This window comes from Homo sapiens, chromosome 2, assembly GCF_000001405.40.
Source record: "Homo sapiens chromosome 2, GRCh38.p14 Primary Assembly".
Classification (NCBI taxonomy): domain Eukaryota; kingdom Metazoa; phylum Chordata; class Mammalia; order Primates; family Hominidae; genus Homo; species Homo sapiens.
In genome coordinates, this window is record NC_000002.12 from 7,062,658 (window position 1) to 7,080,235 (window position 17,578).

A 17,578-nucleotide genomic window follows, 5' to 3' on the forward strand; every position below is an offset into this window, starting at 1 on the left:
CTCACCACTGATACTGGAGCAGGATGGACCAGAGGAAAGAAAGCAGAGACGTTTATCCAGCTTCTCTGAGTCCCTGATAATGTGGAAGCAGAGTCTCTCCCCTGCCCAGGGAACTGGCTGATTGATCCTTAATCAGCTCAAATATTGAACTTCTGGTTCCTCTGCATGTTGGGATGCTCACATTACAAATTTGATAGTTTCCAGTGAGCACCAGTGAACCCATCAATCCTCTCCTTTCTCTAGAAACTCTTCTTTTGCTGGAACAAAACATACAGTAAGAAGACAAAACAATAAAAATTTATTAGAAATATTTTTGACCTGAGTACTGAGGAAAAAAAATGTTTGACAGTTATCCAGAGGCTAAGCTTTAGGCAGGTGAGAGGCATGATCAACATTGCAGCTGGGGAGGAGGACACCTAGTCTGAATGCTAACACTGGATTAGAGGGCAAAACCTAGATGTGGTGGTAATCCAGGTAAGAAATTATGAAGCTCCTAACACAGCCTTGGCAGTTTGTTTGAAGAAAAGGCTCCTAACCACAGTCCTGGCAGTTTGTTTGAAGAAAAGAGGACATATTTAAGAGATGCTTACAGAATAGACTTTGGAAGTTGCTTTTGTGTAGAGATTTGGAGTTTACGGGGAGAAATAAGCAGCTCTCTGGATTTTGTCTCCAGACCCTGGATGAATGTTCACAGCTTCCAGGGGATGGTTGATACAGGAGGAAGAGTTAGATGGGAGTGATTATGGGTTTAGTTTACAGACAGGTCGAGCTTGATTTGCACACTTGGAACTCAGTGGAAATGTCCAAAGATCAGGTAAATATAAGAGAACAAAGCTTAGGAAAGTAATTAGGGTGGGACCTTAATTTTAGAGCCGTTGTGCTAAAGATGAACAGAAATAAGGATATGGGAGTCAAAGGGGTGTTTGAGAGAGAGAGTTATACCAAAGGAGAAGAGGCTCAAGGCAGCTGACCAACATTAAAGGATGGGCAAAAAAAGAGCAGCCACAGAAGGTACACTCAGAAGTGGCCCAAGCAGTGGAGGGAAAAAATGGGAGTAGAGAGCAAAACGTTGCAAAAAGGAAGAAATGTTCTAACGTCTAATGCTCCAGATAATTCAAGATCTTTCTGAAAGTACCCACTACCAGTGGCAATAAGGAGATCGTTAGTGGTGTTGACAAATTATGCTTCATAAAATATGCCTTAGTCCATTTTCTGTTGCTATAATAGAATACCACATAGTGGATAATTTATTAAGAAAAGTTTATTTAGCTTATGGTTCCGGGGGCTGGGAAGTCCAAGAGCGTGGCACCAGCATCTGTTGAGGGTACCCATGGTGGAAAGTGGAAGGCAGAAGTGAAATGTGAGTACATGAGACAGAGAGACACCACAGGGGCTGGACTGGCTTTATAAACAAACCAGGCTTGTGATAACTAACCTGCTTCCACAATAACAATATTAATTAGTTTATGAGGGTTTTGCCCTCATAACCTAAGCACCTCTAATTAGGCCCCACATCTCAACACTGTTGCATTGCATTGTGGATTAGGTTTCCTGTGCATGAACTTTTGGAAGACACATTAAAATCATAGCAGATGAGAAAGGAGAAAACAAGAGTCTAGGAGGCAGGATTTGCCAAACATGCTTTGAAGATGTTTGAATGATGAAATGGAGAAAAAGCACTACCAAAGAGGAAAACTTATTTTTAAAAAAATAAGGTGAAAGAGATTTAAGAGCATTTAAATGCTGATAATAAGGAACCAAGAATAAGCAGGGGATATCTTGGAGTGAGGGGGCTTCAGGAAGAGGAGAACTCTTCTATTGTGACTCCACGGGGAGGCTAACCCAAGGAGGGACAGGTGAACTAGTAGGCAGTGCCAAAGGAAAGTTAAGGAGTTTCTGTCTCAAGGCTTTCAGAACCTCACTGAAGTAAAGGGAAGAGTTCTGTGGTTTCAGTCATGGAGGGAAATGAACAATGAGCACGGACCAACACAGGCTGTAGATTAAGGAAGATTCTGGTAATGACTTTGATAGACTTTCAGGAGGATGGGAAAAGGGGAGACTGAAGTTGTCCAGAGGTAGGGAAGGATAAAAGGTGGTATTTGAGCTTCGCCTTGACACATGAATAAACAGATCTCAGCTTTCTATAAATTGTAATTGAGGATGAAAGGAATATTCACATGGATCCCAGAAAGTTCTAAGCAGCCCTGAAGACAGACCTGGAGGTGGCCAGGTAGGCAGAACCCCTTCAAGTCACTTGCATCAGATTAAATCACCAAGCCCTGAGAACTCGGGGCAGTAGTAGATCTTTTCTGGCCATCATAGATAAATAAAACTTTCTGTGACAATCTACATTCTGAGACAGCTCTGTGATAAAGTGAGCCTACAATAATAGTGCAGTGATAATTCTAGCTAATGTTTATAGGTTGTCTGCTATGTGCTAGGTACCACTCTGAGCATTTTCCACGTGTTGACTTATGTAATTCTTAAAACATTCTGATGATGTAGGTACAATTATTCTTCTTAAAACTGTTCTTTAGTTTATATTTCTTTTGTCCAAAAAGGATTTAGATCAACACTGGAATCTCTTGGTTCCAAATCCAAATTCCTGGAGAAAAACTCTGATTCCTGGAACAAACTATCAAATGCCTTCCTCTGGCCCCATCAACTGAAGTCAGGGCCTGGAGCTATTATAAAATGACTGCTTCCATATTGACCATGGCGGATAGGGAGATTTTAGAGAGGCAGGTTCCTCAAAAGTGGGATGGGGTTGACAAAGATTCTTTCCTTGGCCAAACTTTTGTGGAAAAAGGATGCTGGAAAAGAAATATTATCTTTTGCTGCCAAAACTGGCTGAGATTGGATAGATTCTTTTATAAAGTTTTACTAAAATTAGGTTTAGTATTAATTGTACACTAGTGTGGAACTAGAATTTGGTCTTTTCCATTAAAATTATATGAAAATGCATGTCACAGAAATAGCCAAATATCTTTGGCAATTGCATAATTATCATAATGAACTCTCTTCATATTTTTAAGCATGGCCATATGGCCATTTTAAGTCTTTTGTTATTTATGGACAGTTATTATTTTACTTTGGTTCTTCTCTGAAAGCATTTGAAATCAGCTACAGTCCAAACTTGCTTCTTCTTCAAAGATATTCATGGAAAAGACTACGAAAGTTACTTTAAAAATACAGGCTTCTGCTGAAAACTTTAAGATCACACCAGCGGACTGGGTAAGAATTTGCAGAACTCTAACAAAGAAACCGATGGCTTCATGAAAGTTCTATCCCAAGCTCAAGAATAACAAGAATTACACGGGACTGAATGAACTGATGAGGACAATATTTTAGTGACTTTTTGTTTGAAACATTGCTGGTTCTTTAATGTTTTGTTTTCCAAATTTAAGAAAAGTTTTTCTCTCTTTTTTTTTTTTCTTTTTTTCTTTTTGAGACGGAGTCTCACTCTGTTGCCCAGGCTGGAGTTCAGTGGCCGGATCTCGGCTCACTACAAGCTCCGCCTCCTGGGTTTACGCCATTCTCCTGCCTCAGCCTCCCGAGTAGCTGGGACTACAGGCGCCCACTATCACGCCCAGCTAATTTTTTGTATTTTTAGCAGAGACGGGGTTTCACCGTGTTAGCCAGGATGGTCTTGATCTCCTGACCTCGTGATCTGCCCACCTCAGCCTCCCAAAGTGCTGGGATTACAGGCGTCAGCCACCATGCCCGGTCAAGTTTTTCTCTTTTATCTTAAGCTATCTATAGCTTAGAACAATTTGGTAATGTATTTCTTTGTGAATAAAGAAGAAATAATTACTTTTGCCTCCTACCCGATCCCTCTGGAATTAGAAAACTATTAGTAAACATTTTTATTTTATGATAATGTAGTTATTTGCATATGTGCAGTAAGAATATGTTTTCCTTGTAACAGTACACAATTGAAAACACTGGATATATTATGAAGGCCTTAACTGGAATGTTGTATCTTCAGATATGACGACTTTAAGAAACTAAGGTTGACTTTATGGAGTCAATAAAGCCTCTTGGAAAAAAATTATCGCCATGTTGTGTTGCATACTTGGTTCACTTACATAGTTTTCTTCCGGGTGAATAAAGAGTGTCACTTCCTGGCAGGCCTAGGAACCCCAGGATATTTTGGAGACCTATAAAAGGGATATTCACTCAAATCCCTAAGTATTTCAGAAACAGCCTGAGAGCAAGTCCTTGGCTTCGCTTTCTAGTTTTAAAAGGCTTTTAACTGTTTAGTCTGAGATTCCCCTAAAAGTTCCAGGAAAGCAAACTCAAAAAGAGCCTAGGTGGTCAATCATTATTTTTGCTGCGTTTATATAAATAATCAGGCCAAGTTAATGAGACTAAACTTATTTTGCAAGCAAATCAGTCTTTGCTTATTTTTGGTAGGAATGGGGGTAAATGGAGAGAGAGAAATTATGTTTCAGAAGAAAACTATAGCACACCTCTTATTGAATTTTAGCCTTGCTCATTGTTTTTGTGGTTTTCTGATTTGTCTACACACTGGACTGGATCCTGAATTCTCCAAGCTTCCTCCAAAATCTGGCAACCACACTCCAGACTAATATTTCCAATTTTCTCCAACCCTTCTGACTTGGAGTCATTAAAATTAAAACTGCTCCTTTCCTGGAGCCCCAAAAGCTGAAGCTGGAGGACTTGATACAGACATCAGAGAGATCACCACAATAGCTCAGGGGTAGACAACCTTCGTGGTGTTAAAACTGAAAACCAGGAAGGTCTATCAACTTGCCACTGCCTGCTCCCACACCACTTGAAGAGGCTTCAAGCTCAGTGTTTAGAAATCTTTTTGATTGGCTGCCCTCTGGGCTCAGAAACTGAGTTTCCGACTATTAAAAAAATCCCCTCATTAAATGCCTGACTGCTTGCACCATCCAGTATGTTGGAACTATCAAGTCCCAACAGGTGACTCAGTGGGTTCTTAGTGAACAAAAGGTGACCACATGAGAAAATGGAGTTACAGCGTTCAAAAGAAAGAAGAATGTCTCTCCTTTCCTTGAACAAGAGGAAGGACTAACAAAAACTCCTTGCTTGGCCAAACTGTAGCCAGTCACCTGAAGCTTCTCCTATGTCTACCTGTGTACTTCCTTGTAAAGTCCATTTTGGGCTAAGAACGCTGCTAAGTCAGTTTATCAAGAACTCCCCCACCCTTGATATCTGACTCAGTATTTTCAATATATGACCAAGTTTCTCATTGTCCATCATCCCCAGGTGATGTCTGATCACCTGGCCTGTTTTCAGCAAGAATCCTGTTAGATTTCTGTAGCCAGAATCCCTGCACCCTCACCCCGATATCTCCTCTTAGTAATTTTCTATCTAGTGGTCCCCACCCTGCTCCTTGGATATAAATTCCCACTTACCAGTGCTGTGCTCCGAGTTGGGCTCAATCTCTCTTCCCTGTTGCAAAATCCCTTTGCAGTGGTCCCTCTATTGTGATGTGATTTACACAAGTATCATTGAGTAAGCTTTTCTGTGCTTTAACAAGTATCAGTGAGTAAGGTTTTCTTTAACAGGGTGATGCCATCTTAGAGAAATGCATTCTCCATAATACTGAATCTGAGTGTCATCTGTAAGAGGTGGGTTGTTTATAACACATTTTAAAGATAAGATTAATACAGAGTAATTCATTTGGGTAGTGGCACCGTGAAACTTTATAGTGAAAATGGTGGTAGGATCTAATGATTGGCTTTTGGGCATTATAGAAGAAAGAAGAATCAAGAGTGGGTTGAGCTTCAGATCCCTCTGGCCGAGAGGATGGTGCTGCTAACAGAAACAATAAGCAGAAGAAGCAGAAAGAGAGGGTGATAGCAGTGATTTTGAGCATTGATATGTTCATCCAGGTTGAGGACATCAGAGGAGAGGAAGAGCATTTCAAAATGTCAGACTGCACTGGCGAATCCGAGTCAGACAAAAGCCAGGCTGAAGATGCCAGCCCAAGGGCTGGGGGTTTTGCTGAGCATAACGGAAGCAGCTGGGTATGAGTGAGGAAACAGAAGTAGAACAATGAGAGATGGCAGATAGAGACGGGGACTGAGATTTCAAGTTCTAAGAGAGAATGATCTTGGAGGATGCCATCAAAGCAAAGTCACAGATAATGTGGAGATGGCCATTACGAGTCTAGGACCCAAGGGGCTTGCATAGACCTGAGTATCATTGTCCCATATGCTGAAGTCACCACACACACACCTAAGTAGAGGCTGCCTGGCACCTCCTGGGTTCCAGCCTCCGAGGTGAGTGTGTTTTCACAGATTATTACAGTGCCTTATCTTCACAGCAATCCTGAAAGGTAGCTTTTGTCTGTGTTTCACAGCTGAGGAACCTGGAAACTGAGAAAGTAACTTGCCCTAAGTCAATAGTAGCCCAGCAAGGAAGCCAATCAGCACAGTCAGCCTCCAAAGCCTGTGATTTCACATGGGGCTTGTCCAGATGCACCTGGTAGGTGTTGAGTTGGGGATAGCTGTGTGGGAGGCTAACTCAGCACATCAAATGTAGAGGCTCTGGCCACCCTCCCATTGCCTCCCACTGTCTCCTGCATGACCAGGAGGACCGTGCCACAGCCTCCAGTGCTGGCTGGGACTGGCTGTTTCATCTGTGTGGCCAACAGATTTCTCTCTTAATTTTTAGCAACAAATTAATCCTATTTTGAGAACAAGCTTGAGCACCAGAGGGCTATCTGGTTGGAAGTTTTTCTGCCAGGCATTATTTTTCTCATAACATCATTCCAGCATTGCCTATTTTCCCTTCTGAGTGGCTTCAATACCTTCATTTCCTTCACATTCTGTCTTTCCATCCCCTGTCTCTTTGTTGTTGTTGATTTCTGTATCACTTGCTCCCTCTCATTCATATTCCCATCTTTCCCACTCCTTCTCTTTCATCTTCTCTCTGCCTCTTTTGTTCTTATTCGGGCAGCTTAAAATACAACACTTTTTAATGAATCTTATCCATTTGTAAATAAACACAAGGTAATCACTTATGTTTTATTCCCTCCCAAATTTTGGAGAGTTGAGCACAGGTAATTTGAGTTCAGGGAGATGAGAACTCAGGCTCAGGCCTATATTAGAGAAGCTTGTGTAAAAAGCCCTCAATAAGGTGGTAAAGACACAAGTTCTAACTAGAAGTATCTTAACACCCTAGAGATTAACTTGGTGAAATAGTTAAAAAGTTTGTTTATAATGACAAGGAACAGCTTAACTTTCAATGTGTTGTCAACAGCTCTCCTGCTTGAACTTTTCAAGGTTTTGAGCTGTCTTTTTGCGTGCATGGAAGTGCTAACACGAAGACACAATTATCTCTCAATCTAAATGTGGCACATGGATGAGAAGGTTCACAGTGTCTTCCAACTATCAGGGATGTCCCAATATTAACCAGACTGAACTTTGAGACTGTAGGAGACTTCTAGAAAAATAAAACTCCAAAGGCCACATTCAGCAGAATTAGTAAAATGGAGCTTTTCTTCTCTCTCTCTCTTTATTTTTTAATCTTTTTGAGACAGGGTTTGACTCTGTTACCCAGTCTATAGTACAGTGGTGCTATCACAGCTTACTGTAGGTTTGACCTCTCTGGACCCAGGTAATCCTCCCATCTCAGCCTCCCGAGTAGCTGTGACTACAGGCTTGTGCCACCACACCCAGCCAATTTTTGTATTTTTTGTAGAGAAGGGGTTTTGCCATGTTGCCCAGTCTGAGAAATGGAGCTTTTTGTATAAAGAACAGCATGAGGTCAAAGGAAAACACTGTGACTGCTTTGAAGAGGCTAGCTTTCTACTACTAGTATGAGCCTGTTGGGGATTAAATTGTTTCCCTCCAAAAGTTATGTTGAAGTCCCCCCTCCCAGTACATGTGAATGTAACCTTATTTGGAAATAGAGAGTGTTTGCAGATATAATCAAGTTAGGATGAGGTTATACTGGATTAGAAAGGCCATTAATCCAATGACCGCTGTCTTTATAACATTAGGGAGATCTGGACACATACACCCAGAGGCAAGTGCTATGTAAAAACAGAGATGCACTGAGAGCACGCCATACGATGGAGGAGGTAACAATTGAAGTCATGTGCCACAAGCCAAAAAAGTTCCGCGATTGCCAACAACCACCAGAAGCTAGGGAGAAGCCAAGAAAGATTCTGAGCAGTTTCAGGAGTGCTGCCCTGAGGAACACCCTGACCCTGGACTTCCAGCCTCCAGAACTGTGTGCCAATACATTTCTATTGTTTTGAGATTGCTTTGCTGAGTTTTTTTTTTTTTTTTTTTTGAGATGGAGTCTCACTCTGTCACCCAAGTTGGAGTGCAGTGGCATGATCTCAGATCACTACAACCTCCATCTCCCAGGTTCAAGCGATTCTCCTGCCTCAGCCTCCCAAGTAGCTGGGATTACAGGAGCGTGCCACCATGCCAGGCTAATTTTTTGTATTTTTAGTAGAGACAGAGTTTCACCATGTTGGCCAGGCTGGCCTCGAACTCCTGACCTCATGTGCTCCACCCTCCTCGGCCTCCCAAAGTGCAGGGATTACAGGCATGAGCCACCGTGCCTGGCCTTTGCTGTGACTTTTTTACAGAAGCCCTGGGAAACTGACACAGAGCCAGCTGCAGATGTGTGGTTAGGCAGAAACGCAATGGGCAGTGGCTTGGATTTCCCTAGCATGGGAGGCACTGCAGAGTTCCTTATGTGCTTGATGGTCAGGGACAAAGCATGGGCCAGCAGCACGCTCCTTCTTTGGACAAGGTCTTAGGGCAAAAACATTGTAGTCAGACAGTGTAATTTCACATCACAGCCTCACTACTTCCCAGCCGTGTGACTTGGCCTGAGTTATTTACATTTGGCTCAATTTCTCAATTCCAGTTTCATTGCAGCACCTATGTGATCACATTTGTGTGATGATTACAGGTAAATACCATTGTGGGTAAAGTATAAGAAGGAGGCCTGGCATTTACTAATTACAAGATAAATCTCCTCCCTACACTGTGCTTCTTAAGGTTTGGGATGCTGAATGGATTCCCTTCTGGTGATAGTGTTGTATGTCAATGTGGCGAGGCTAGGGTCTCCAGTCACTCAACAAAACAGTCATCTAGGTGTTGCTCTGTAGCTATTTTGTAGATGTGATTTAACATTTACCACCAGTTTGCTTTAAATGAAGAAGACCATCTTTGATATTCTGGGTAGGCTTGGTCCACTTCACTTGAAGGCCTTAAAAGAAGAAAGAGGGGAAGTTCTCCTAAGGAAGAAATTCCTCCTGGAACTCCAGTGTCTGCTCCTACTCGACAGGCTCCAGCCCACCCTAAGGATTTTGGATTTGCCTAGGCAATCCCCCACGTTGCCTAAGCCAGTTCCTACTGACTTTTTTGTCATGTCATTCTGCTCAGTGACAGTAGGAAGTAGGATGATAGTAGCTCGATGCTGCTGTAACAAATGCCTAAAAATGGGGAAGTAGCTTTGGCATTGGGCAATGAGCAGAGGCTGGGTAAATGTTTAGCCACATGCTAGACAAAGCCCAGATTGCCTTGAGCAGAGTGTTGGTAGACTTTGGAAGCTACAGGTGCTACTAGTGAGGGCACAGATGATTTTTGCTATAGAATGGCAGAAGGGTTAGCTCAATCACATCCTTCTGTGTGTGGAAAGTAGAACTTGTAAACAATGGACTCAGATGTTTAACAGAGGAAATTTCAAAGCAAAGTGTGGAAGGTATGGCCTGGTTTCTCTTTGCTGCTTACAGATGAATGGAGGGAAGAACTGTTAAGCAAAGAGAAGCCAGAGCTTGATCAAGAACTGCCTGTCAGGCTTGTAGAATCCCACAGGAACCTCAGGAAATGGATGCACTTCTATAAAAGGCCTCCTTCAATTTTTCTGCCATCTGTCTCTCCTCTTCCTACCCCATTCCATTTTTCAGAGCATATTGTTTTATTTTCTCACTTATCCTGCCACAGAATATTACTGATTTATTTACCTGTCTCGCCCCAGTTAGTGTCTGTTTGAAGGCAATGGCAACGTCTCCATCACTGAGTCTTAGAGCTTAGTGGTGTCAGGTACAAAGCAAACAATAGATATTTGTGGAATGAGTGAATGAATGCATGAACCAACTTTGGGACATGTGCTCATTGATCAGGATTTTGAAGACATTCTAGAAAATCTAGAAAATCAGAAAGACCAGAAAGGCATTTCCTTGACTGGAATCCAAGTGTTTACCTCAAATGGGCTGAGCTGAAGCCAGGGTCATGGGCCAGAATGAACTAGCATCTGATCTGGAATCTGCAGCCTTACACTCCTCATGGCTTCCTGTCCTTCCTGTCCTTGAACTTCACTCTGTCCCATACATACCATGAGACTCCTTGGAACTCTACACCACTTCTCCAGCCTCACCTGTCTATGATCCACCCCATCTACCCTGGCCGTACCGGACAACTTTGAGTTCCCCAAAGAACCCTGTCGCCACTCAGGCCCTTACCTGGCTTGTTTCCTTTCCTAGGGATCCACCCTGTCTCCATCCCTGGGAAGGTCTACTCCTCCTTCAAGACCCAGCTCATGCAGTAGCCCCTGTGGGAAGCCTTTCTCAGTCTCCTCCTCACCCCACGTTTGGCTGTTGGGAAACCACTCCGCTTTGTACTTTCTGATGCAGGATTACAAATGTGTCTATCACTCCCCGGAATTGAGTATTGGCTCTGGAGGGCAGAAATGATGTGATGTTCATATTTGTATGAAGGCCAACATGAGGTCAGAACATGTGATTCATATTCATATTTATCATAGATTTACACATATATGATAATTTTCTGAAAGAGGGCAGTAGAAAGTCCTAAGGAATGGGTAATAAGGAATGAATCATTTTTTAAGTTAACTCAAAGTCACCCCTGGAGATAATGAGGTGTCTTCATGTCTGGCAATCTTAGCCTATGCAAGTGGAGGAACCCGATGCCTGGCCATTGACTGTGTTAAATAACCGTTGTTATTTCAGTGAAAAGTAAAGATTATAACAAGCTGTTGTTAAGCACGTACGCTATGCCAGACGCTGTTCTAAGCACATCCCATGTGTGAACTTATTTAATCCTTACATCTTATTTAATCCATACATGAGGTGAAGATATAAATTGGTCCTTGTAGGGTCACACCACTGTGAATTCAGAATATTCTGCTAGCTCTTCAACCCAGGCCCTCCATCTGGTCTGTGCAGCCTGCAAGGGCATAGGGGAGGCCCACTTCAAATATCAGCTCTTTTTTGAGCATATTCCCCAGTTCTCTTGTTCTCACATCCTTTAACTCTCACAGAGCAGCGTGTGTTCGTTTATCATCCCCCTTACTTGACTATCCTGTTACTTTAGAACAGAGCCCTTGCCCTATCCTCAAGATAAGACTGCAAGTTCCAGAGGGCAGGAGTGATTCTGCCTAATACTCTCCAGAGCCCATATCAATGCCTTGCACAGAGGACACATGAAACACATTAAATCACAATGACTCTGTTGTATGTTCCTGGTTTTCAGGAATTTGGCAGCTTGTGTCACATAAACAAAAGTCAGTGGATTTCCAGGCACCAGAGCTTTCCTCTCATAACACTTACCACCAGGGCATGATAAAAACTGTGCTCGTTCTGGGCCTGCCTACCCACCCACCCATTTACCCACCTTCCAGCCTATTGACACACCTGCTATATATAACTCCACCCTACACCCTAGCAAGCGTACGTAAGTGCAACCATAGCCCATACCAAATGTAATCTTAATATACAATCATGCAAATTAAGTTATGGATTTCTAGTTGACACATGTTATTTTTGTAGATATTTGAAAAAACATTCAATTGTACTTACAGCTTTTAAAAATTTTGTGTTGTCAATAATTTGTTGTAGTTGTCTTAAATATTTTCCTGGGCCCTTAAAAGATCTATGCACTTAGTACTCCTCTTTATTGTATAAAGAATTAAGTTAGTTAAAACTCATATGTCTGTCCTTTCATCTGGGTTATAAGCTTTGTGGGGAAGAAACATCTGTGTCTATGTCACTCCTAGAGTCCCCACACTGAGCAGAGTACCTGAAACATAGGAGGTGAACAATGAGTATTTCTAGGTGGAAGAAGAGAAAGGAAGAAAAAAAGGAAGGAAGGAAGGAAAAAAGGATGGAAGAAAGGAAGGAGAGAAGGGAAGAAAGAAGGAGGGGGGGAAGGAAGGAATCCCTGTATCTTTAGAATTTATTTGAACGAGATGGGATTGAGTGATCAAAGAATGACATGGAAGAGGAGGTTCTCAATTTTTTTCTATAGCATGACTTGAAAATTTTTAAGTGTAAGAATTATTAGTAAAAGTTTTATTTCTGTTGCAAATACTTGCATTCCAGGTACAATTGCTACTAACCTTCCCAAAACTTTTTTTATACCCATGGATTCTACAGATTAGAAGTTGGGCAAGGCACAGTGTGGATGGTGGATGGCTCACCTCTGCTCCATGACATCTGCAGCCCCAGATGGGAATAATAAAATGTTGGGAAGACATCTTTCCTCTTCTACCCCACTCTCCCACCAGAATCATCAGGAGGCATCTTTATTTCTATCTCATGATTAATGGCAGCTGGGGCCTCAGCTGGGCTATCAGCTGGAACATCCCCCCCCCCACACAGTGTTCTCTTCTCATGGGCCAGTTTGAGCTTCCTCCCAGCATGATGGGCTCCAGGTGAATAAGGCTAAAGTGTTAGCATTTTTATGACACAGTGCTATGGATTGAACATCTCTCCCAAAATTTCGTGTGTTGGAAACTTAATCTCTAAATCTCTAAATTTATATGTTGATGGTGTTTGGAAGTGGGGTTTTAAAGAGGCAATTAGAAATAGATAAGGTCATCAGGGCCCTCATGATGCAACTGGTGGCTTTATAAGAAGAGGAAGAAAGACCTTAGATAGCACATTTGCTTTTTTAGTGATTTGATGCCTCCTGCCGTGTCATGACAAAGCAGAAAGGTTCTCACCAGATGCAGCCACCTGATCTTGGACTTTTCAGCCTCCAGAACTGTGAGTAAAATTACCTCTATTTTTTATAAATTACCCAGTCTCAGGTGTTCTATATGGCAACAGAAAATGGATTAAGACATTCAGCCTTGAAAGACACATGGCATCACTTCCACTATATGCTACTGACCAAGCCAGTTGCAAAGGTTGCTCAAGTCTAAGGGGAAGGGGGGACATGTGAAACAGGTCATATTGTTGAGGCCTCCTTGGAAAGCGTAATCTGCCATTACTGGTTCACCCTGTAAAATGTGTTTCTTACTGTACTTTGTGGTCAAAAAAGTTTGAAAAATCTCTGCTCCTTATTGTGTATGTTGTGAATAACTATAATTATTGCATCATGCTGTTTTGATGAACATTTGTTTCTAATTTTTCTTAATTGCAAAATCAATGCTGCATTGAGCCTCCCTGTGTTTCTGTATGCACATGGAGCAGTTTCCTGGATGTCCATGCTTAAAACTCCAAGCCCTTTCCCTAGGGCTTGCTGAGGGGAAGATGGCCTGTGTGGTTGACAGTTTTTTTCTAATATTAAATATGTGTTACTGTATAAGAAATTCATTGTCAATATAATTGATTTCTATTTTGTACTAAAATGATACTGCAATTTCTTACTTTACTAGAAATTATTTGTAAATATAGCTTGGTTGTTTTCCCATTTTTGGATTATAAATGATTCTGTTGCCACACTATATTTTTTGCTAGCCTGATTGCTACCTTAGGAGTTTCACGGAAAGCGAATAGATGGTTCAAAGGGGACCAAAAACACTTTAAAGATTCCTGGTACATATTGCCAATCAATAGGATGCTATTTCAGCTAGACTGTGGAGATGAAACAAAACCTTTTGAAACCCCATTAGTGTGGTTATACTAAGTCCTCCTGAATATTATTAGAGAAAATTTAAAGTAGCACAAGGTAAGCAATTATCAGAAGAATAACTCCCAGTTAGTTCATAAGTCAGTTTCTGAACCACTTGGCACACCAGTGGGTGCATACAACCCTGTATACAGTTCATGCAGGGAGGCAGGGGGGTCTGTAGCATCACCCATCCTAACACATACATCTCAGGAGTTATTGTGAATTAGCAACAGTTCATTGGCCATGGATGTCCTGTGGGACATGCTGTGGGGAAGCCCATCCTGCAGGGGTGCCTGTAGCTAGTGCCAGTCATGGTTTATGACAGCAGAATAACTCATATACAATACCTGGCTTTGAGGTAGTGCCTTCCTCCTCAGTAAAATCTTGCAAAATTTGACTCTTTCTTGCTTACAGCATCTGTTCAGTTCAGTTCAGCACTCAGTGTGTGCCAGCCCCTGTGCTGGAAATATAGTTGTAGACTGTTTTCTGGGTTCATTCCTGCGGAAGCTGGTCTAGAAGACAGAGAAAGATGGGTGAGCAAATGCTTAGAACGCAATAGGATAGTAATGATAAAGAGACATGCAAACTAATGCTGAATGGTTTCATCACCCTGTGAATAAGAAGTTATAATAGAATAAGCTTCTTATGGTAAGTATAATGGTGGTGGAGGGACAGAATTTTCCCAGAGGAGCCAATGTTTAAACTGAATCGTGAAAGATAAAGTATTTACTGATCAGACAAAAGAATGAAGGTGATTACAGGCAGAGACAATTTTCCAACAAATGTACTTTGTAAATTAATTGGGAAATGACCTGGCACTTATGAGGAACCCCCACCTGTTCCTTGGAGAAAAAGGAGCAGAAAGGTAGACCAGAACTCCAGGGCCGAGACCTTCCATCTATGTAGAAATACGAGTAAGTGACCACAGAGTAAACTATCTAGAGTTCTCACTCCAGAGTGTGGAATCATGATTTCTCAGCATAAAATTTGCTTCTTTCTCTGAAGTTCTTCCTCCAAGAGCACTTTTGTTAGATCTCTTGACTGATTCTACCATGTTTTGGCTATTGCTGGCAGGACTCTGACCCTATGTACTGGGGGAAAACAGGCCCATACACACTGTCCTTAGAGAAGTCAGGCCTAAAACTGCTTATTAAACACGAGATCCTGACCTTCTCTAACACACATCTTGGAACAGTTTTTCCTGATTTCCAGAGAGTCACCAAAGCCCTTTCTCTTTCCAAAGCCTTATATAAGCCAGCTTCAGCAGGCTCAGGTGGTCAGTGGGAGAGGCTAGACTGCAGCATGCTGGGTGCCATCTCTCTGGCTCCAGGAGCCATTGGACAGCTAGGGGGTTGTCCTTCCCCACTGAATAAATTACATCTGGGGCCCATTATTTTCCATAATTATTGTAATATGACTTAATAAAACTAAATGCTTTATTTGCGTTGCTGCTTGACAGCAAGTTTCCTTAACAACACAACACCATTGTATCCCTACGGAAACAGCTGCACGAGGCAACAGAGCGATGACACATACTTGGAATTTTCTCGCTCTTGCAGTCCTGTTTCCCAATGACTCTCCTGTGAAAGGGCTAAAAGTGCTCTGCTGTAACAGGACGGCGGGCACCCCCACCTGCTCTCTGTACTCTCCAGCAAATACTAGAACGGCCCATTGTAGTAAAAACTAGGAGCAACTCTCTACTGAAGACCTTCTAGGTGGCACCTATTGTGCGAAGCAATTTCTCTTTGATATTTCAGATCCTTTCTTCAACTCTGAGCAGTGGGCTTCATCTTGAAAATGAGAGATGAGAAACCGTGTCAGAAACTGTAAGAAAAATTGCACAAGATGACATTGTTAGGAAGAGGTGGCTGGATTTGTCTCACTCCAAAATCTGAAGTCTCAGGACTTGATACCTGCAGGAGGGAAGAAGCCAACTCAGGCCAGGGCTGAGAGTAGGTGGAGAATATGGAGTGTATCTCTGTATTTGCCTCTTCCCTACTCTCCTCCCCTCCCTGGGTGCTGAAAGAATCTCACCATAACATTCCCTGATTTCTTTGGGGGATCTAGAGTGTTATCAGTGGGCTCTTTACTTAATTTTTACTTTCATGTCTAGATCTCTGTTCATGCTCTTCTTATACTTTACAACAAATCTCTCCTTTTTTGTCTTGAACTCTTATCTCCAGAATAGTGATGACACTGGTTCTAGGACTTTCCCCTGCTCTATGTTTTTGGTAAGCAGCCTAGGATAAATTAACTCTGGTCCCTGGGGCTCTGTATGATGTTGAACTGTCTACCAGGGTGGATTCTTTTCTGTCTCACCTCTAAGAATAAATTCAGATGATGACAGGTAAGATAATTCCACTATTACCAACACAGGTGGAAGGGCTACCACCCCACTGCTTAAACATGGTTGTCAACCCGTGGGACTAAGGAGGCCTTTGCAAGTCACAAAGGCATTCCATTCATGGAAGCAGGTCCATTCTCCTCATATCCACCTAAATGTAGGCAAAGAAAACAAAGTTCCTTGCCCCAAAATGCTTGCACATCCCGATGGCTTGATCATACGTGTGATTCCGATGTTATAAAATATTAAGCAAAAAAATTTAAATGTTTTATTAACAATCCATTCCTATCACTATGAAAACCACCCTTAATTGAGCATTGTTCTGGAACTACTGTGTTTTTCCCAGCATTGCTTTTAAGCTGAAAAAGCCCTGCAAGTTTGTCTTATATAGAGGGCAATGTGAACTATTACAGTTACCCTCGAACACCTTTGACTTCCTGCCTGCCTGCCTGTCTGCCTACCTGCCTCCCTTTCTTACTAATTAAGGCTTTATAGCCAGAGCAGGTTCTGAAGTTACAGTTAGCAAGAAAGTTTTCATTCAATATAAAAGAAAGGTATGAACTACTACTACTAATATAACATGGTAGGAACTGTCAGATCTCTTAGAAGCTGTGGAAAGTCAAAGAAGCACCATCCATCCCTTCCTGAATAGATGTGGTTCAGGGAACGTGACTTTAAAGGAGGTAGCATGTGATGGGCACCAGGATGAGCAGAAAGCCTTGAATGCCATTCCAGTTTATCTCTACAAAGCAGAGGGATCTTTACATATTTGAAATATTAAAAAGATTTGGCCTTTCCAATATCAAGAATGACACAGATTTTGTAATGTTCCTACAAATATCCTAGACATTAAAAAGTGAGAAGAATTATGAGTGCATTTGATAACCTAGATTAAATAGCAAAATTCCTTGAAAAACACAAGTAATCATACATGACAAAGAATAGAAAACTCTAAGAGCTCCATATTTCCTAAAGAAACTGAATTTATACTTCAAATCTTCCATAACAAACAAAACAAAACAAAATCTCTAGGCCCAGATGGTTTCACTGGTAAACTTCATCAAATATTTAAAGAATGTTTTTTAAAAAATCTAACAAAGTCACTCAAAGTAAATGAAGTGACAACTACTCACTTTATTTTATGACTACCATAACCCTGATACCCAAACTTGGAAAATTACAATAAAGTAATATTGTATAAATACAGATGCAAAAAATTTTATTAAATTTAGTAATTCAAATCCAGAAATATACAAGAAATATAATTCACCATAGTAACAGAATAAAAAATAAAAACCATATAATCATCTCAGTAGGTATTGAAGAAAATCTTTGACAAAAGTTAACTTCGTTTTGT

At 41.6% G+C, this 17,578-nt stretch overlaps 1 protein-coding gene and 1 long non-coding RNA gene across 3 annotated transcripts in view; one reads left to right on the forward strand and one right to left on the reverse strand.

Annotated features, from left to right (window-relative positions):
• RNF144A (ring finger protein 144A) overlaps positions 1–13,710 on the forward strand; it is a 158,956-nt gene extending 145,246 nt beyond the window's left edge. The window contains exons 9-10 of one of the 2 annotated variants that reach the window (NM_001349185.2): positions 5,559–5,621; positions 12,416–13,710. In NM_001349185.2, the coding sequence (NP_001336114.1) occupies positions 5,559–5,618 (60 nt within the window). In that variant the 3' untranslated portion in view covers positions 5,619–5,621; positions 12,416–13,710. Of the gene's footprint in view, positions 1–5,558; positions 5,622–10,504; positions 10,750–12,415 lie in introns of both variants that reach the window. The other variant, NM_001349181.2, reaches the window with a different exon arrangement.
• On the reverse strand, positions 70–15,223 carry LOC101929452 (uncharacterized). Its single transcript, NR_110252.1, has 3 exons — positions 15,047–15,223; positions 14,225–14,389; positions 70–257 (listed from the first exon to the last, which is right to left on the reverse strand). It is a non-coding gene; the product is annotated as an uncharacterized LOC101929452 (long non-coding RNA).
• Positions 15,224–17,578: the final 2,355 nt, after the last annotated feature.